At 48.3% G+C, this 21,478-nt stretch overlaps 1 protein-coding gene across 4 annotated transcripts in view; it reads right to left on the reverse strand.

Annotated features, from left to right (window-relative positions):
• Nucleotides 1–21,478, reverse strand: part of TSHZ3 (teashirt zinc finger homeobox 3) — a 201,002-nt gene that overhangs the window by 115,962 nt on the left and 63,562 nt on the right. For 2 of the 4 annotated variants that reach the window (XM_047439132.1, NM_020856.4), the window contains one exon: nucleotides 9,108–13,915. The exons of the other annotated variants lie outside the window; for them this stretch is intronic. In XM_047439132.1, coding sequence (XP_047295088.1) covers nucleotides 10,710–13,915 — 3,206 coding nt within the window. In that variant the 3' untranslated portion in view covers nucleotides 9,108–10,709. Of the gene's footprint in view, nucleotides 1–9,107; nucleotides 13,916–21,478 lie in introns of those variants that run through there. 4 annotated transcript variants of the gene reach the window in all.

Here is a 21,478-nt window from a genome sequence, read left to right on the forward strand (position 1 = left end):
AGAGCGAGGTGGGGTGCTGAGAAGGGTGGAGGGGCAGGTTCCTGGTGACATCACTGAGCACCCATGTCCAGTTGGGCCTGAAGCCCCTTATCCTAGACTACAGTCACATGAGCCCAAATCCCTTCCTTTTCTTAAGATCCTGAGCAAATTCCTGCTGACAGCATCTTGACAAGCACCCCTGGCCCCTGAGCCTGGAGAGGAACAGGTGTCCTGTGAGTTACAGGTTCTGCAGGGCAGTGGAGAGCAGTGTTTGTTAACTGGGATCCACCACAAAGGCCTAGAGGTGGACCTCAGGGAGCCCATGTCCCCCTACACTTAAGCATCTTAAGCAACACTTAAGTGGTGCTTGCATCCACTTTCTCCTGAGGAGAGAGACTGTATCTCTCAAAGGGCCTGCAACCCCTAAAAGGTCAAGAAACTGGTATACCCAGCCTCATCAACATAACAAGACCCCGTTTCTACCAAAAAATAAAAGGATTAGCTGAGTATGGTGGTGCATGGCTGTGGTCCCAGCTACTAGGGAGGGTGAGGCAGGAGGATGACTTGAGCCCAGGAGTTCAAGGCTGCAGTAAGCTATGATTGCACCACTTGAAGTCCTTGAATCAGGGGCGCCACTCCCTGAGGAATCTGAGAAGTTCACACTGGGGCTTATTCCCCCTTTGGCAAATTGAGGCCAGAAATTATTCAAGATGCACAAAGATTCACCTACGAGCCCATTAACACGACCCTTTTCATCCCAGACCATAACCCTAAACACACGACTTGAACCTGACCTTCAGGCAGAGCCAGGAAGGCAAGAGAGCAACACCCTGTCTCCAAAAAGAAAAAAAGTTGTGGTATAAAGTTCTAATAAATCCCCATCTGAGACACACGGGAATAGAATAAAATGCATTTATCTCTAAAATGGTAATGGTGATATTTTGCTTTGGACGATTCAGAAGGCACTCCCTAGGATGTGACAAGTGACACCATGAGCCTCACCATCTCAAAGCAGGGCCAGAGGGACATCTAGGGACCAAGCCCCTGTGGTTTCCGCCAAGGAGAGGGCCAGCCCTCCAAAGCCCTCCCCTCTCTGCAAGCTCAAGTGGCATCCATCCTTCACAGTACACCTCGGGCCCTGTCCGGCCCAAGGAAGTGCTCCTGGCCGGCCCACTTCAAGTTTCAGGGTTTGAGCCTTGCAATTTCACTTTGTTTTCTGCCCAATCGTGTTCTTCATTCACTGCGTGTTGTCATTGACTTGGCATGATTGTGGACTACATACATGTCTCCTCTCTCCAGCTTGACTCCAAACTTATGAAAGGCCAAGGCAGGTCTTAGGAATTTTCTTCTTGTTCTTGATGACAACACAGGGCATGAGGGCCTTCTCTCAGCCTGCACAGATGAGATGAGAGCTCACCCTTGCCTGAGAATTGTGCAAGAGATGAGAGCTCACCCTTGCCTGAGAATTGTGCAGGGTCCAGGAGACTGACCTGGGCCCTCACATGTCTTGGGGGAAAGCTCCTCAGACCCTCTCTCAGAACAAAACCATAGGACCTCCATGTTCAAATGGGCCATGGTGGTCAAGTCCCTTGCAGGCCCTGCCCTCACTCATTCTCTAGGAGTCTGGAAGCGCCCTCAATCCCCCACCACTCCTTCCCCTACCCGTGTCCCCAGAGCCTCCATCAGGCCCAAGCACAAGGCACCATCTCCTCAGCATCTCCTTCTTTCCCCTGCCCCCACTCCATCCACCCTTCCCCCATTTCTTTCAAGGGTCTCTCTGGTGGGTGCCTCATGTCTCTGGCTTTTAGTTCCATTTAGGAGAATAAGCCCATTTTTTTTTTCCTGGACTTCAGAAGCTTTTTGTCCCCACTCGCCCTTTGGAAGGGAGTCACACAGGGGTGAGGGTAGAGGGCATTTAGAGAGCAGAGGCTGTGGCCAGGATATCAGAGCACCTTCTCCTTTGGGATCATTGCCAAGCACTATGCTGAGCTTGTTGAGAATGGGGATATTGAAAACATTTGAGAAAGCTGAGATGAGAAGCTGGAGAGAGCAGAGTGAAGGTTGGGGTCATCTGTTCAATGGTCACACCTTTGACAAGTGCAGTAAGAAGGCAGGTGATATGGTTTGGCTGTGTCCCCACCCAAATCTCATCTTGAATTGTAGCTCCCATAATCCCCACTTGCCATGAGAGGGTCCTGGTGGGAGGTAATTGAATCATGGGGGTGGGTCTTTCCCATGCTGTTCTTGTGATAGTGAATAAGTCTCACGAGATTTGATGGTTTTATAAATGGGAGTTCCCCTGCCCATGCTGTCTTGCCTGCCACCATGTAAGATGCGCCTTTGCTCTTTCTTCATCTTCCTCAATGGCCGTGAGACCTCCCCAACCATGTGGAACTGTGAGTCCATTAAACCTCTTTCCTTCATAAATTACCCAGTCTTGGGTATGTCTTTATTAGCAGTGTGCTCTCTTTCTCCCTGGGACCACCCACTGGTGCAGTACCCCCAGGAAACTCTGGGTTGGCAGGGTGCCTCTCATGAAACCAGAGCCCCAGGAGACCCAAGCCCTAGTCTCACTGAAACACAAGAGCCAAATGTCAAACTCCTTCCAGAACCATGGCCCTTTTGGAGATAGGGGCTGGGAGGGTTGGGTAAGGCTGTCACTGGGTGGATGCTCCGTGTTTCTAAAGCTTCTGAAAACAGAAGCCTGGCTGATCTTCCTGATTGACACAGTGGGGCCCAGGCCAGGCCACTGATCCCCCAATCCTCATCTATAAACAGGCATCACAGAGATTACAGCCCTCTTCCCTCCTAGGATGGCTGGGGAGAAAGACACAAAAAGAAAGTAGTGAGGTGAGCTTGTGCCACCCGAGAAGAATATCAGGACATGACTCCTTGGGTTGAAAGCAATGTGGGAGAAGGCCTCTGCTTTCTTGGGTTGCCAAAATATAAGGAAGGACCTCCTGTACAATCTTGGCTGGAAGGCTTGCTAGAGAGATGAGCTCTGAGTCTCACCTTTACGGCTGCCTCCCCGGGCAAATCCATCCATGTGCCATTTCAACACAGGGAGGGGAAAATTCCTGAGACCCCAGTTCAACAGACACAGTCTCTTGTACCCCAAGCTCAGCGCCCACTAGAGAGAGGGTGGGTTGGGCAAAGTGAGGTCCCCACAGGTGCTATCCCCAGTAACCTCAGCTGCACGGAGCAGCCCCTGCTGCCCAGCAGGTCCACACATTGCAGGAAAGCCGCCTTCCTCTATCTCCAGCCACACGCACTTCTTCCTGAGGGCTGTCATAGCAGCCCTTCAAACTCATTTGACTGGGTTGCAGCTCATCACACTGTCACCAACTCAGTTTTCATTAGGCGGCTGCTTCTCTGTTAGCCTAGCCAAGCAGAAGAACTCAAACACATGCACAAATTAAATCGACATCCAAACTCCACCAATATACAAAGCAATTTAAATGATACTCATTAGAGCAATGACAAGCCCTGATGAGGCTTTCAGGAGCCGGGTCCTTCAGCTTTTGCCGACTCGGTTTCATGGTCACTGAGGCGGAAGTCCGGCGACCGTACCTCCATTTTTTTTAAGCTAAGAAAATGACTCCTTCCCGACAGACACACCTATCTCATTCTCTCTCTTTTCCTCCCAGCTGTCTCTTGGCTCAAGTTTACCCAGCCCTGGTTTCTGGACACAGGTATGGCCACGGACAAGAGAGTCACATAAAGGAAAAAAAAAAGCAGCCACACTGACTTCTTTTTTCCATAAATGCTCCAATTAAAACAGATTTCAGTTTCTCATAATTTCATTTCACTTGGCCTGGGAGATCTCTAACTCACAATTATGACGGTCATAAATGTGTCCCTGGATTCCTGCTGTGGAAGAAAAAAATGAAAGTGAAATGTTGAAATGCAGTAATTTAAAAACTTAACCCCCCCAAATTTAAGAAGTCATTTCCAAAGTCCCATTTATGTATTTTAATTTTTAAAAAGAAAGCAGGATGGCCTCCCCCGCTGATGCCTGGGGCTTCAAAGGCCAGGACAGAGGCCTAATGGGGTCTGCAGTGGTGCCTGGGCAGGGAGTCCCAGTACCCCCGCATGGAGGCTGACAGCCACGCCAGCCACGGAGCCAAGTCTGTCTCCAAGTCATTGGGTGCAAAGAACAGCACAGGGACCGCCTGATTCATCACTGACTAAGGGCAGAGCAAGGTCACGACTACATCCATCAGATCTGTGGGCTTTGGAGTTTGCAGCCTAGATCATATCCACAGCAGGGAGAATGATCGGCAACTTCATACACCGGTGCCTGTACTTCTGTTTATAATTTTATGCTCAAGGTTAATTATGTGTGTCCTTGGCTTTGATCAGAGATAGTAGCATGTGAGAATGTTGCCTGTGCCCATATTGGCAGGATAAGGATTTTTAGAAATACCCATGAACTGGAAACACACTTACATCACTGAGATGTGAGCTCTTACCCAGGAAACTGATTTGTAAATCATGGTATAGAAAGCATTGTCCAATGTCCAGTGGAAATTTGTTGGTTTGTTTGTTTTTGAGACATCACAATCTGCAGCCTCAAACTCCTGGGCTCAAGAGATTCTCCCAGTCCTGCCTCCCAAGTACCTGGGATTACAGGTGCACGCCACCATGCTCAGCTAATTTCTATTTTTTATTTTTTGTAGAGACAGGGTCTCACTATGTGGCCCAGGTTGGTCACTATGTTGCCCCTGGCCTCAAGTGATTCTCCCACTTCAGCCTCCCAAAGGGTTGCGATTACGGGCTTGGGCCACTGTACCTGGCCTTCCAAAGGAACCTTCTATGATGATGGGAATGCTCTGTGCCTGCTGTCCAAAGAGTAGCTGCTAGTCACATGTGGTTAGTATGATTGACTGATGAACTAAATTTTAATTTAATTTAAATCTGGATAGCCATATGTGGCTAGTGTCTACTATATTGGACAGCACAGGTTAGAAGGTAAGTAAATGTATCCTACTTCCTGAGTTGGCTAATTGTGGATGTTAATCTCTGGAAAAGGATCACCTTTCTTATCACCTTAATCATCAGGAATGATTTATTAAGAATATATCAGTACCTGACATTATACAAAGGTTGCAGAAAAGCAGTGTCTCTGATCTGCTATCATTAGAATTTAATTCTTTTAAAACCTGGATTTTTGGACCAGAGGTGGGGCACTGACACCCCAATGCTGAGCCTCCAGAAGCCGTGGACTTATCTAAGTTACCCCTGGTGTCCACAGCAGTACCAAGACTGAGTCATCATTAGACTGCCTGGTACGGCTCCAGCCTTCATGGACTGTCAGGCCGCTAACCAACAATTTGGCTAATCTATTGTCTTGGCAGGGCAGGGGATATAGTTCTGAATCATCCAGCGCTTTGGGATGCAGGCCCTTGGAACCATGAAAGCCCACCAGTTCCAGGGTTCGCTGGCCTTTAAAATCCTCCTGGGGGTCGCCTCCTGTCAAATCCTTAGGGACAGAAAAATGGTGCCCGTGAGTCAAACAGCATCTCCCTCTGGCTTGTGGAAACTCAATGGAGTGTGAGAAAAATAAGCAAACTCCCTGGAAACAAAACCCTGGGTTTGATCGCTGCTCTGCAGTGACACCCGGAATCCAGCCCTCGGCTGCAACAAAGCTGCCACACGGCACGCAGGAAGGTGAGGTCGGTTCTATCACAGAGGAGCTTGTCTTCCCTGAAGCTTTATGCTAAGACAGAGCGCTGAAGCCCTACCCAAATGAGCCAGATTATTTCCAGAGCTAACTATAGTGTATTTTGCAGAGGCCGGTGAGCCCTGGCACTGAATGGAGGTCCAAGCCTGAGCACCTTTTCTGTGTTTTCTGAGGTCAGCTGAATGCTGAAAGGCATCCACCAGCACAGGGTCCCAGGGGGAAATGTATGTTCAGGCTGCCTTTGCCAAAGATTACACGTGCTCACTAATAAATCCCCAGGGAGAAAGAAGGCTCCTGTTTCCATTACCAAAAGAATAACTATCTGGCAGAGTAAAGATGGTAATTTCTCCATTAGCTAAGACGATAATAGCTATTATTTTAAAGTTAAAGTATTTATTATTAAAGAGCGGTGTTGGAGTTTGCATGTTTTCAGTGGTATGATTGCTTCCTCTAATACAAAGTGTATTATTTTCCTGCTAAATAGTCAACAGAATAAAACGCAATTGCAATTTTCCAATCTCAAAAGGACTGTGGCAGATGAATTTGAGAAAAAAAATCATTGGATTTATTTAAAAAAATTTTTTTTATTAGATGACTTGGAAATGTCTAAAGATGATAGTTTTCATCCCGGACTTGTTCGATGCAGCCTGGCTTCCCGTCAGCTCCTGTCTCTCTGCCACTCACGGGTTTCTGTCTTCAGAATTCTGCTTCCCCAAGATGGAGCTGGACGGCTTAGAGGGCCTTTTTTCCTCTATAAGTATTTTGTCACCACGTCTGTGGAACTGTAGGTGGCCAGAGGCTGGGGATCAGTGAAGTCACCTAGCTGGAATGGTCTGAACTTGAGGAAGGAACCACAGAGACTGCCGCCCTGAACTCAGCTGGGAAGGCTGTGGACACACAACCTCTGTCTGAGCGCAGGGCAGAGAAGGGCCTGTTTGGTGGTTATCAATATATATATTTTTTCCTTTTGCAGAATGAAAATAGAATAGAGATGCCAGGGAGATTGGGTCCTCATCATAACCAACCCTCTCTAACTTACATGTAAGGATTTTGGTTAATTATAGAATTCTTGCTGCCTAAAACTTAAAGATACATCACTGATATTTTTGCTAAATGTTGACTGCAGCGAATTGCTAAGATGTGGCATATTGATTTCTTGTTGTGAAGTGAGCTGTTCAAGCTCCATTTAAGATTTTCATCTTGCATGTAGCCCTGAGCACATCATAGCACCATAAATTAGTTAAATTGCACATTTATCACAAATGTTATTTTAAGATACTGCGTACATGTGATGGTCGGAAGATATACAGTAGGACTGCAGCAAGCCGGGGCTTGGGCGGGGTGAGGTCAGGGTCACCCGCGCACCTGTGATTAAAACCTCCCTCCCTTGGCAACATCCCCCCTCCTCCCTGCACCCATTTAAAGGCCTGACTTGGGCGACCAATGCCTTCCTCCATTCACTCTCTCGCAACAGCAACCGCAGAACATGAGCACTACGACAGACGCGGAGTGCGACTTTACAACTTCCTGTCTTATCTCAGGGAAACCAGGGCCATTCTGGGCTGGGGTGAAAGGTTCTTCCGGACAGTGGCCCAATCTTTAGCCAGGCAAAGGTTTGGTAACCTCAGGACAAAATGGCCCTGAATTTCCAAGTAGGGGGAGACCGTAACAAACCATATCCGCCATGCTGCCTGGTTCATGGGGTTGTTATTGTGCCACGTGAGGTTTGCATTCGTGCCTGGAGCCCTACTGCCCAATTCTGATGTTTCTCTAGAGGTAAAATTAATTCATGGACCCCCACGTATATGAGCAGTCCTTTCCTGGCTAAACGCCCAAGGTGTCAAACAAGCGAGAGAACCTGCGGCCTACCTTGGCTTGTAAATCCTCACACCAACCCCCAAATTGGAAAGCCCAGAAGATGATCCTGGGAGTGGGGTGAGGAGATGGGCAAAGTGTGTCGAGTCCTCCCAAACTGTCAAGAGCGGGGTTCCACCGTCACTCGTACAAATCCCATCTCCCTTCAAGCCACATGGGCCCTGGTGGTGATGGAAGTGTTGTCAGTTTAATCTGTTAGATGCAGGACTTTGGATTCTAATAAACCGATGCTATATTTAACCTGTGAAAAATTCAAGCGTGGAAATCTGGGCTCCAGGATGTGAAGATGCGGAAGGCACGGGAGGGAGGATGTCTCTGTCCCCTGAGACGCATTCTGTGGGGAGCTGGTCCTGGAGGGAAACATATGTGTCCTTTAGCTCCTCCCAGGTAAAGGTCAGTAGGACAAAGAACAGGCCAGAAAAGAACCAGGGCCAGCCACAGAGAAGATGGGGCCTGGCACAGGCCCTGCACCAGGAGGGGAACCTGCTTTCTTCCCTGCCTGGCCGTAAAACCCACCTGTGTGCCCACATCCCAAGGCAAGAGCTTAGCTAACACAGCACTCTCTATTTGCCAAACAACTCATTTTAAATTGTAGTGAGTTTCTCCCTAAAAACCCGGAGAAAGATGGAATGCCGAGAGAAAACAGAGTAGACAGAAAAATTTGGACTCCTCTTGAGAAAAAGGGGTGGGGATGAGCGGAAAAACCGTAGGCGTGTTGCCGAACATCTCTGAAAGGGCTTAAATTTTTAATAAAATATGTGTTTTTTTTTTTAAGTTGAGGTGTTTTATGTATTACATGGATGTAATACATCTCTCATTTGTATAATTCTAGGTTAGGAGCTATGATTCTGCATAACTGCAAGAGTAGTTTGAATATAGTAATAAAGGTATTTTACAATTTTACATGATGTTCCCAGCGTTTTGTTGGCATGATTTGCCGGGGCTAATAAAAGCTTGTGATTATCATATAAATGCTCTCCCCCTCCTCCCATGGATGGGTTCAGTCTCCTCCCACAACACCCCTGCCTGCTTATCTGTGGCTGTTTTAACACAGGAGGGAGAACCTTGGGACCCCAAAGTCTGTCTGACCCGATTGGTTCTGTTTCCCGCTGTTTGAAAATCCTGAGTCAACAGGAAGGAGTCACCCTTTCAAAGCTTTCTTTCCCATCAGCCTCCTTGACAGTGCAGGGCCCTGAACCCCGGGCATCCAGAAGAGAGATCAAACCCCAGACCCCCATGCAGGTCACCAGGTGTGACCGGAAGCTCTGATCCTGGGGGTCTGGCAATATCCCTTCTGCACTGAGCATCTAACCTTATAGGCATATCTTCCTTTCTTGTGAATGTTTATTCTCGGTGCAGATCCTATTCGAGCTGCCTCTGAGTAAGTGCTCCCTGCTCTCCAAACGCCAAAGTTCACTAAAACTCCCCCTGATTTACGCACAGCTTCCGACTGCCAGCACCTGGCAGCCGCAGCAACCAGCTCCGTCATAAACAGATCGCATACAATTTAATTTTAATGTGCTCGTTAGTCGTAGCACATTTCAGACATAATTGTGAACGCAACACAAAATTATAGCAAAAAGACAATTTTAATGCTGCCGTAGAAAAAAGGGTTATATGAAGAGTCACATAATGGTGCTTCATTGTCAACAACCAAACAGGGCACAGAGTGTGTTACGGTGTCTGTGCTGTTTACATGCCAATATTTTATACAAAGGTTCTCATATGGTGTCAGCTGTCAGTTACTTCTGCAAATTAACTGCCAAAAATGGAGAAGAACAGAATCACTTGGAGAGCCGGTAACCACGGGTTACCTTTCATAAGCCTAAAGATAAAGCTGCAGTGTGGGATCTTGGGAGAATAATTAGGAAGAACAAAACAGAAAGTTACCAATTGAAATAGAAAGGCATCCTACAATATGGAATAGCAACCAAGAGGGCTTATAAATAAGTGAAAGAGGTTGGATCACAGAATGCCTCATGACTTTTAAGCAAAGTATTACAGTACAAACATTTTAAAGGCTTTATCAATGTTTAGGAAATACAGTACAAGTTCTTTTTTTTTTTTTGTTCTTTTTTTTAACCTTTTCAAATAGACTTAACCCTTTGAGCACTGAGTTTATTTTGAGTGTTCTTTGATTTCTAATAAATACCTTTAAAAATCATGTGCAAAATAGTTCTGATGCCTGCCAGGGATGTCTTTCCCGGTCTCGTTTATTCAGACTGCTCAAAACAAATGACAATATGATGCTAATAAATATGTATAATTTAAACATGAACCTCTATCAATATAGATGTACTGTATAGCAAAACAAACTATCATACTTTGCTTTCAGATAATGTTTCTGTATACTTTATAAATGCTATCTGTGGTATCTTCTGTATAATTTACAATGTTTGCATGTAAAAAACAAAACCCATAGACCTTAAAAAAAAGAAAAAAAGAAATATACACTATACATAGGCACAGCTTATGCCCAGAGCATAGCAGGTGCATAAAACACTGTTGCTATAAATGCAAGAAAAAGGTCATTTAACCACAATCACATTTTTTTTCATAAGAGAGTCTGAAATCTATACAATATATACATCTATGTTTCAATGTGAAAATAATATTCTTTTAAATTTCAAGGCGTGTTATACCCCTGCAGACCTGCATAAATGGAGGTTCATATTATTCATTATAACTAAGCTGGTAAGGAGTTTAAAAAACAGAGCTTCATACATTATTATTATTTTATTTTATTTTTTAACCAAATTAATGCAAAAGTGCTTCAAAGTACTCAGAGGGCTAAAGATGAAAGGGTGAGAAATGCCAGCACACTCGAGTCTCGTGGAAAAGGTGTGCCTGATTCCGTTATAAATGCTTAATTAAACTGTCTGTTAATGCATGCAGCTTGAAGCATCGGGAGGATGCTCACAACTAAATCCCGTTTACACAAAGTTCCAAACACTTACCACTGCATTTTAACCTTCATATTTTACCAGTAACAACAGCTGATTATGCACCTCTATTAAACACTGTACAGTTATACAAAACAGTCCAGCCCAGAGTGATTCTCTGCAGTTAAAATAAGAACATGTGCCAAGAACAACAAGTCAGAGGGGGCCTGAAGGTGCCTTCCACAGTTTCCCTCAAAGCAAACTGCAGTCCTTTCTATCAAAAGCAAATGCTACTGCTTCTCTAACTCAGAGACATACAGAAGGTGGTCTTCCGGAGATTTCCCGTGTGTTTTGCTAAGGTGAAGTTTAACAGCGTGCTTGCTGGCAAAGGTCCGATTGCAAAGTTTGCACTGATAGGAAGTCCCCAGGTCTTCCTCGGGGGAGGACGTCACCATTTTTTCTGACGGTGACTTGGTTTGTGCTATCTGACTGTTAATCTGTTCGGTGGACAGTTTGGATAAGTCCCGTAGCCGGAAGCCTAAGTGTGACTCTAGGTGACTGATGTACGTGGAAGGAGTCCTGATTTGGGACGCACAATCGTTACAAAAGAAGACGGGGTGGCCAGTGTCCAAGTTTTTGAGGAACTTTGTTCCACCTGTCCTTCGAAGCTGGTATTTCACGTTGGCCAGCCAGTGGCTGATGGTGGTCATGGACAGCCCGGTGAACCTGGAGATATGCATCCGCTCCTGGGGGCTCAGGTCTGACATGATGTACTTCCCTTCTGAGGTCTGCCGGAGGCTGGCGGCAAACTGGGCCTGGAGGATCAGGAGGTGCTGGGGGTTCCAGTTTGACTGGCGGCCCTTCCTCTTCTGGGCGGGCGTCGACTCCTCAGCCTCCTCCAGAGTGGCCCCGTCAATGTCAGACTTCTCGGAGATGCTGGAAGGAGTGGAGGATTTTGACGTGTGGCTCTCTGTCAAGTTCTTCAGCATATCGGATATATCTGACAAGGCATTCTCGCGTAGCGGCGAGTTTGACATGAATGATACGACGGCAGATGTCTTTGCCGTTGTCACCGTGGATGAGGAGGTTGCCGGGGCTGTGGACGTGGGTGACAGAAGCACTGAACCCAAGGAGCAGCCTTTGTCACTCTTCCCTTTTGTCAAGTCTATGGGCTGGTCGTTGTTGACGTGGTAGAAATAGCGGTCGAGGTGGTCTGCCTTCTTGGACTGCAGGGGCGGCGGGGTGGCCACAGCAGCCTTCTCCGCCAGGCTGTTGCTCATCTTGAAAAGCATGCTCATGGGGTCCAGGGCAGGCAGGGAGGGCTTGGCGGCCTTGCCCAGGTGAATGTTCATGACTGACTGCAGGGCGCTCAAAGGGTTAACAAAAGGCTGTTCAGGCGGGTGGTCGGTGATGATGGCCGTGCTGCCACTCAAACTGCTGGCTAGGGGCTTCACCAGCTCCTTGCCATTCTCCACCGGCTCAGCGAGGGGGCTCCCATCCTTGCACCCATCCCGCGGGGGGCTGGGGCTGTTCTCCTGGCTGCGGAAGCCCCCATCGCTGGATGCCTCCATCTTGATGGGTTCCCCGACTTCGCTGCTACATGGGGAGGGAGTGGCCCGCTTGGGCGGGGAAAGCTTCCCATCCGGCTCCTTCATCTTCTCCTCCACTTTGGCAACTTTCTCAGTGACCTTTTTCACCAGCTCCTCCATGGCATGAAAGTTTGTCTTGGGCATGGGGGACGTCTGGCTGCTGGGTGGAGAGACCAGGGTCTGGTTTTTCGTCGGGGAGACAATCTCACTGTTGCCAAACATGGGTTTCAGGGGCGTGCTCTTCCCCGACGAGCCCAGGGACAACTTCATCATGTTGGGAAGTTGGTAGGCGGCATGGATGCTGGGATAGCCCCCCCAGCTAGGAGTGCCGTTCTGGGCCTTGTTGATTGCGGATGTCACTGTGTTTTCCAAGGATTTGAGGATATCAAGCCCCCCCTTGGGACTCTCTTCTAAGTCATTTTCAGTCAAGTAATGGTATTTGGAAGAGATGTCACACTTCTCCTCTTCTTCGCCAGGCTTGTCTTTTTGCTTAGGTTTCTCGTCAGTGACCGCTTTCTCCTTGTCGACTTCCTTCTTGACCTCCACATTCAGTTTTGGGGAGATGCTGGCAGGTGTATTGGAGGGGGACGTGAAGGTGGTGGCTGCCAGGGGCACGGACTGGACCTTCTCATCCAGCAGGGTTGTGATGGTAGGTGTGACAGGCGTCTCCACAATGGGCTTCCCCTTTTTCATAGCAGAGTTGGTGACCTTGATGAAGTGGCCAGTGACCATCATGTGGGCAGTGAGCTCCTGCAGGGTGTCATGCGAGCTCCCACACTCCATGCACTTCAGGATCTGCGACTTCCGGGCCTCAAAGTGCCATGCATAGCTGGCCCCATTCTGGTGGCCGTACCGATTATTTGGCGTGATGTAAGGGTTGGAGTTCTTCTGAAGTGCATCGTTGGTGTCTGAGATGGTGGCTTTGGGGGTTCCACCTGTGGAATCTGGGGAGCTGGGGAGCTCCAGCTCCAGGGAAGCTTTCTTCCGAGTGGCAGGGATGATTTTGGCGGCGACAGGAGTGACGGGTTCCTTCAGAGGCACTTTTTGGTAGTGTTTTGTTTTGATCATATGGACACTCAAATCCTGCAGGGACTCAAAGGAGTGGCCACAGTACATGCACTTCAGCACCTTCTGGGCGTCTTCCTTCCCTTCCATTTCCAGCAAGGAGCGTTTGCGAGGCTTGGACCAGCGCTTGGGGTTGTTGTTATCGGTCTCATGGTTGTCGTCGCGGTAATGCCCCGTCTCGTTCATGTGCACCGTCAACTCCACCAGGGTGTCGTAGGCAGCGCTGCAGTCCTTACAGCGGAACTTGCTGGCCCCCGTGAAGATGGAGCCATAGAGCTTGCTGCTCTGCCGGTACAGCTGCACGGTGCTGAAGAGGCTGGGCTCCGGGAGCATGCGGCTCTGTGACACCTGCTGCAGCGTCTTAGCCATGGCGCTCTGGTGCCAGTCGAAGCTCCCGCTGCCACAGCTGCTGCTGCTGCTACTGCTGCTGCTGCTGCTGCCGTTGTTCTTCTCCGAGGAGGGCTGGTGCAGGTTGAGGTTGAGGTTGGACCAGTAGGAGTTGGAGAGGAAGTTGTTGTACACGGCCTTCATCTGCTCCAGGCTATCCGACACAGTCGTGTCTTCCAGTGGGACCGTGACCTCCTTGGTCTCCTCTTCGTTCTTGATGGAGCCGCTTTCAAAGTCAGCCATTCGGTCACTGGTCTCACTGATGTGTGACTCGCTGTCCATTTCATGGCAGGAAAACTCGGCGGCCGGGGAGTTCTGGTAGCTGGGGCAGGCCCTGGCGAGCTCCTTCTCCGGGCACATGTACTTGGCCGAGGGCTCTCCATCTGCCGTATGCTCCTCTGGGTCTAAACCTTCGTCCACCAGGGCAGCAGCCTTTAACTCTTCGGAAACATAGGCTGCCATGATAACAGGTGGGAAAGAGAGACAGGTAGGATGGAATGAAGAGAGACAGGGAGAAGGAGAGAAAGAAAAAAAAAAGCATTAGTACTTGTTGATCTTACCTAGAATATGTTCTGGGCTCTCAGGAAAACACAGCAACCCAGATGGGTACATGTATTTGTAAAATTAAACAGTTAAAATGTGGTGTTTCTTTGGAGCAAAAAAAAAAAAAAATCTGCTCTTCAAACATAATTTGCCACCTTATTCTTCTCAAGGGGCAACAGCTTGAAATTAAAACTAAATTTGAAATTAATGAAGCACATTCTGGAGGTGGCATTCATTTCTAAAGTAATAAATTACTTGTATCAACCTCAGAGACAGCAGTTCCTGTCTGTCAATTAATATGTCTTATGCTTCTCCTACCCCTAATGCATTTCTTAACAGACAGATTCACAATTTAAATTAAGCAAGCATTTTTTACTCATTACATTTTTGAGGCTCAATCTTTAATAAATATAAAGTATAAAAACATCAATAAAATTTTTACCAAGTAAAAAGAAAAGTACGTCCATTGTAATAAGGGAAAAACAAGATTTTGTGGCTTTTTTTTTTTCTTTCTTCCTTCTGGAAAAGCAGGTCTCAGAAAAGCTTAGAGGTAGGTTTCCTGGCAGGGATAGGTGTGGGTTCGTTCCAGTTGAGAGGAAATACCCTGACCAGCTACCACCCAGCCCCCAGCCCTGTCCCCCATGTGAACACTCAGCCGTTCTCAGCCACCTGTGCACACACACTCTCCATGCAGAATTATGTCACAACAAGTTCAGGAAAATTGGTATGCGGTGCTCATTCCTGATGTATAAATATATACAAGACCTTCCAGTGGACCTTACAAATGTCAAAGTGTTTGCTCTTTAGACTACTTTGTCAATATTTACTCAGTATAAGCTTCATGGGCATCCAACAGAGATCCTGTCTTTCTGGAAGCGATGTAACTGGGATGTAAATCCAGCATGCATTCCCACGCAGGTGGAGGGCAGGCCACGCGCCTGCAGGTTCTGGAAGATGCACGTCCAGAGACACAGAGCCCAGAGAATACTTGCGTTAATGCAACAGGGTGTTTTTTTTGTTTTTGTTTTTGTTTTCATTCTCTTGCATTCGGTGACTTGGGTTATTCCTTACTAAACTGATCTGCCACTGCATACTGCATCAGGGTAGTTTTTTGGACAGTGAGGAGTGGCCAGCCCTGTGGCTAGGAACAATTTCAAGGTAAAGGAAAAGGAGAAATAAAGTGACTTTGTCCTGTCAGCTTCTAAATACTTGTTTGCTTCAAAAGGCCAGTGGGGAAGTGTGTTAAGTGGTTGGAACGTTGCAGTGCTAATTGCAAGGCTGATTTCTACAAAAAGCTCTTAAGAAAGGAAGGGAAGTTTTGTTTGTGGAATTGACTCCACCAGCTTTAAAGATTTGCCCCTGTTCCATTTCACATCAGAAAACCAACAACAACAATAAACAAACAAACAAACAAAAACAGTGAAATGAGTCCCTTGAAGTCAAGCAGATAGGCCCCCCTCATTCCTTCCAGGACAGGTGTGATTCTTTTGCTCCTAAGCCCCCTACTTTGAGTGCCAAGATTCCTAAGCCAAGACACATGGAATCCCAACACTGATGTAATGTGAACTTGGATGGGAACTGCCCCAGGTACACACATCAGCTGCAGGGAGGGGGATACTTCTGCTCATTTGCCAACTACTAAGCAAGAGTCTTGTCCAGGAGCCATGGATGTTCTTTACAAATGACCAGAAGAGAGTGCCCTGCTGCAGTCAGCTGAGTGTGAAGTGCTGTGGGGAACCTCAAGTTTAAGGCCATGCACTTTGAGATGACAAATAAAGACAGCAAAAGCTCTGTTCCTAGGGCCAAGACCAAATGCTTAGGGAAATACGGCGCTGGCCAATGGAGGCTCCTGTGCTAGCCACAGTGAAGACTGTGAATGCATGTGTTGGAAAAGAATAGGAAAAGAAAAAGAAAAGAAGACATCTCACTCTCCCTCACCTGCCCCCCGACAGACTTCCTCGGCATGCAGCACATTCTAGAAATCTGGACTCAAAACTCCAATGGAGTGGCAGGCCTGGAGGAAGAACAGCCGAGGTAGAATAACCAAGTGTCCCAATTTGCCTGGAGCTGTCCTGGTTTCAGCACTGAATGTCTTGCATCCTGGGAATTTACTCAGTCTTATGCAAACTGAAGGATGGCTTGTTACCCTAGCTGGGGCACACAGTATGACTGAGGTCAGAGCATCCAGGTGGGTCTGCAACCTCTCTTATAATCCTCTCGGGGAACAGCTGGAGCAGAGTAGGCTGGGTTTAGCTAGACACAGCCCACTGTCTGCAGAAGTGCACCGGGTGCATGCATATATGATGTTTCCATAGTACGGTTTTATTGTAAACGGGGAAAGAGGAGGAAATCCCATGGCTGGTGTCCCTCCCACTGAGACTCAAGGAAATGCCCAGGCCTGTGTAGATGGGTGAAGATATCAAAGCCCCTTCTGTCCTGGAGATGCCTCTTGGAGCCACAGTCTGCAATACAAACCCCACACCCTGGGGATTTTGCTCCTATTACAGTGGCTCCCATGAAATTAAGTCTGAGAGAGAAATGGCCCCACAGCAGCCACTACGAGAGGACACCAGCAGCCAGAAGCAGCAGAGCCAATAGTGGACATGAAAGAGTCCTCTGTGGGTGAAGGCCACCAGGTGAGAGGGAAACCCAGGGGCTCTGCCAGCCCACATTCCACCCAGGGGCAATGCATCTCCCCATGGCCAGAGCCTTCCCCACCCCCACTGCACAAGCACCAAACCAGCCCAGGCCGTCCGGAGCACCCCTCCCCAACACATGCACCATGAATGATATGACCAGCTCCTCTCCTGGGCTGGCCCACAACACGCTCTGATATGCTTTGTAAACTACACAGCAGGGTCAGAATGTCATCAGTCTGATGACTGAGGAGGAAATTAATATGGAAAGAAAAGGCCAACCTCTCAACCTCCCTGGTGGAACAAGATCCAACTCAGAGGAGAATTAAAAGGCTCTGGTGCCAAGCAGAACTGGGTCCTGGAGAGACCTGGCCTCACCGCACACCCCACTCCTGACCATGTCATGGTTTCTGAGGGTTCTTTCAAGCGCACACCCTCGTGGCTGTGACGTGGGCCTCACTCCCTGTTCAAATGACCATTTTCTTTTCCGATCTGAAGGTGAGAAGTATTTCCTTAGGTGGAGCCTAAGACTTTTACCCACTGGTTCTCCCCTCCACATTAAAATAAAGGGAAGGGCTGGGCGCAGTGGCTCATTCCTGTAATCCCAGCACTTTGGGAGGCCAAGGCAGGCAGACTGCCTGAGCTCAGGAGTTTGAGACCACCTTCGGCAACATGGTAAAACCCCATCTCTACTAAAATACAAAAAAATTAGCCAGACATGGTGGCACATGCCTGCAGTCCCAGTTACTCCAGAGGCTGAGGCAGGCGAATCACTTGAACCCGGAGGTGGAGGGTGCAAGTGAGCCATGACCCACCACTGCACTCTAGCCTGGGCAACAAAGCAAAATCCTATCTCCAAAAATAAATACATAAAAATAAAGGGAAAATTCCCATCTTCCACCATGCTTTGCAATAATTTCACTACTCTGAGAATATTTATACTCTTGATTACTGAACTTTAAAAATGTTCTAGAAAATGGAAATGGACCCAGTGGAATGAGGGAACTAAGGGATGAAAGGCACTCCACAAATACGCATCAAGCTGCCACAGGCACCAGGCAGGTTGCCGCACACTGTGCAGTGCAGAGTTTTGTTTCTCTAGGCCTCTATTTCCTTCTTTGAATGATACGGGGCACTTGGGTAATATTTGTAACGTCCTTCCTCGGCTACATGTCTATCATTTTATGGCCTTTCAGAGAAGGTAAAGAGCCGAGCTGTAAAGTCGCTTAATCTGGTTCATTCTCTGCAAACGCCAACCTCACCAACACTCAGCAAGTGGAGTAGTTCCTCTGTGCTTTCTTCTCTAGACTGAGCTTGACACGCAAAGCCCCTGGCTGGATAGAAGGAAGGGCTCTGGAAGCTGGCACAGCGAATGCCCTGGATCAGGCAAGGAGGGGAGGAAAGACTGGGTGTTCCCAGTCACTGTGCAGATGGTGAGAAGTCAACAGGGGTGTGGGGCAGGGCTGTCGAGAACCTGGTCCCCACCAGGCTGGCTTCAGTAGCCCAGGGGTAGGCACCGTCCACCGATTCGACCCAACAATGCATCACATGTGACCTTGGGAAATTCCGCTACTGTCTCCAACAGTATTTGAGAGTATTTAAATTCCTTGTTGCTACTTAACTTTCTGTGCATTCTTGCCTGAATTCTCTAAGGGAGGGAACCTTACTTCCTTAGTCTTGCATGCAGTAGCTGAGCAATGGACAGCTGCTGCCTCATTTCAAGTAGGTGAGTGGGGGGTCATGTCCAGGAGCAAGGAGTTGTAACAGCCTTTGTTAACAGGATCCCCCATTCTCTCTGCAGCCTCCCACATGGGCCCAGTCCAGCCACTAGCATCTCTCACCCCATCCCCAACCAACTCCCTGACTCCAGCCCCAGCCCCTTTAATCTCATCTCCAAGCAGAAGCTGCTGAGATTAATATAGAATATCAGGCTGGTCATATCACCTCCCCATATAACACCCTCAGTAACTTCCCACTGGGCTCGGAAGAAGATCCAAATTCCTCAAAGCAGCCCTGAAGGAAGGGAGTCCTCCACCATTTGCCCGGTTCCCCTCCAGCCCCTCTCAGCTTCTGAGATGCACCAAGATCTCTCATTCCTTACTTTCTAGCACTGCCTCCTCTGCTGGAAACCCTGGGGCAGGTGCAGTGAAGTGGAGAATGCGGGAACCCACCCTTCCCCGGGCCTCAGGGAAAAGGCTCTTGGGGATAGCAGGGTTTTGACCCCAGCTTTTGTCCCCTTATCCATGGGGATCACTTGTGTATGGCCAGATATTCCAACACATTGTCAGCTTTGTGTGGTCAGGACGAGACCCCACACACCCACACCCCAGTTATCAGCCGCAACCCTACCGTCCGGCCCAGAGTGGCCACTCAATACATGTCAATGGGACGAATGAATGAATGAATGAATATCATAGACAGCTGCTTCACACTTCCTAAATAGCTGCCAAAACATCCTGAATGGATCCTGAGTCCAGCCAGTCCCAGTGCAAAGCAGATGTGCTGGGGTGAGACCCAAAGTCCATCCTAGGCAAGTTCTGTCTGAGAGTGACTGGCACATTCAGCAATGCCACTTCGTGATTAAAGGTCTCTGGGGTAGACAGGATGACAGAACCCACCACCAAGGAAGATGGGAGGAGACACCCCAGTCGGTGGTCTCCTTGCATTGGAGCCTGCCCAAGCTGTGCCCACACTCAAATACCCTCTTCAGGAATGCATTATCGGCCAGGTGCAGTAGCTCTTGTCTGTAATCCCAGCATTTGGGAGGCCGAGGTGGAAGAAATGCTTGAGCCCAGGAATTCAAGACCAGCCTGGGCAACACAGCAAGACCTCATCTTTATAATTCTTTTAAAAATTAACCGGGCATGGTGGCCTGTGCCTGTAGTCCCAACTACTTAGGAGGCTGAGGCAGGAGCATCGCTTCAGCCCAGGAGATTGAGGCTGCAGCGAGTTAGGATCACATCATTGCACTAAAGCCTGGGTGACAGAGTGATTCTGTCTCAAAAAAAAAAAAAAGGAAAAGTAGGCCAGGCGTGGTGGCTTACACCTGTAATCCTAGCACTTTGGGAGGCCGAGGCTGGGAGATTGCCTGAGCTCAGGAGATTGAGACAACCCTGGGCAATATGGTGAAACTCCGTCTCTACTAAAAATACAAAAAATCAGCCAGGCATGGTGGCGGGTACCTGTAGTCCCAGCTACTTGAGAGGCTGAGGCACGAGAATTGCTTGAACCTGGGAGGTGGAGACTGCAGTGAGCTGTGATCGTCACTGCACTCCAGCCTGGGCAGCAGAGCAAGCCACTGTCTCAAAAAAAAAAAAAAAAAAAAAAAAAAAGGAAAAGTGAAAGTGAAAGAAAAAGAAAAGAATGCATTATCATCCCTCTATCCCTCTTTTCTCTTGAGCAAATAAGATGGGAACCTCTGCTGCCAGCTCCCATGGAGGAGGCAGCTGGACTGTGAGGGGGAGGAGGTTCTCATTCAAACCAAACCAACAGCTGCAAAGATGCAAAGAAGCACACAGAAGTGATCAGGGACTAGCAAGTGAGAGGCCGACTGGGCACCCGCATTCCACGCTTCCCCAAGTCCCTCCATTGAAAGAGTCTCTCAAGATGTGAGCCCCTGCGGAATGGCTGCACCCGCTTCCCCACACACATCTCACTTTCCTTACCCCACCAATGAAGACTGTGTGCTTAAAGCAACAAGACAGCCATCGATCTCTCAAGAGCTGAGTGCCAAGGACACATTTCCAGACAACTGCCTGAACTGAAGAACTTGGCATGCACAGAACCAAATGTGACTCCTGGGTAGAGACACACATGGATGAGAAATAAAAGCTCCCAAAGTTACAAAAGCTTTCTGCAAAGTTCTATAGCCCAACAACCTTGGAAGCCCACATGATGGAAAAACAAAAAAACACAAAGACAAAACACGGATCCTGCCTAATATGAGCATGTTTATGAGCTGTGTTCACATTCACACATTCATTGCATCTGGTCCTCTCAATGGTCAAGGAAGGTGGAAAAATCATCTCCATTTTGCAGACAAGGAAACAGGGATTCTGGCTAGTTCCACAGCACACTTGCACTGAGGAACCAGTTCTGACCCCAAGCCCTCTGCTGCAACCCCTCGGGATGAGTCACTGGAGGTAGATGGGGCATTTGCCTGAACTCCTAAGACCCACACCCGGGGTCCAGTGTCAGGGGACCACACAGGAAGTGTGGGAGGGAGCGCCCTGTCCCCGGAATGAGGAGTGGGCAGCCACGCAGAACCTTCTCAATTCCCCCATTGGGATCCACACCTACCCTTCCAGGAGGGTCCAGCATCCCCACCCTCAGCTCACCAGTGGTGTGGCTTTCACACCGTGGATGCAGGGATGACAAACGTATCATGTCCGGGGAGAGAAGAGAGCTGGCCCACCGTGGCCATCAAGGGTCTGGAGACACCAATTCGTTAATATTTATTGTCATCATTAACTAAATTCAACCTCTAGGTAAAAAGAAATTAATATGTGTCATATAAATATAAAACAGTAAGCTGGGGCATAACGGAATTCATTTCTGGGCAAGGTGGAATTACTTTCATCACACAGTTAGGAATCTCTCCCAAAAGATAAAGAGGAAGTGTTGGCTGGGACCTGCACTCTCCAACCACGGGGGCCACGGATGGGCAAGTCGTGGGTGGGAGGGGGCACTGGGTGTGGGTGGAAAGAAAGGAAAAGAAAGTATGGCTGTGTCCCGCTCCCCAATGCAATTTCCAAGTAAAATGCCCTGTGAGAGTTAGCATTTTCTGGGCTGAAATAAAGGTTCTGAAGTTATAACCCTCCGTTTCCCCTGGGAAGGTGC

The sequence above is a fragment of the Homo sapiens genome, chromosome 19 (assembly GCF_000001405.40).
Source record: "Homo sapiens chromosome 19, GRCh38.p14 Primary Assembly".
Taxonomy (NCBI): domain Eukaryota; kingdom Metazoa; phylum Chordata; class Mammalia; order Primates; family Hominidae; genus Homo; species Homo sapiens.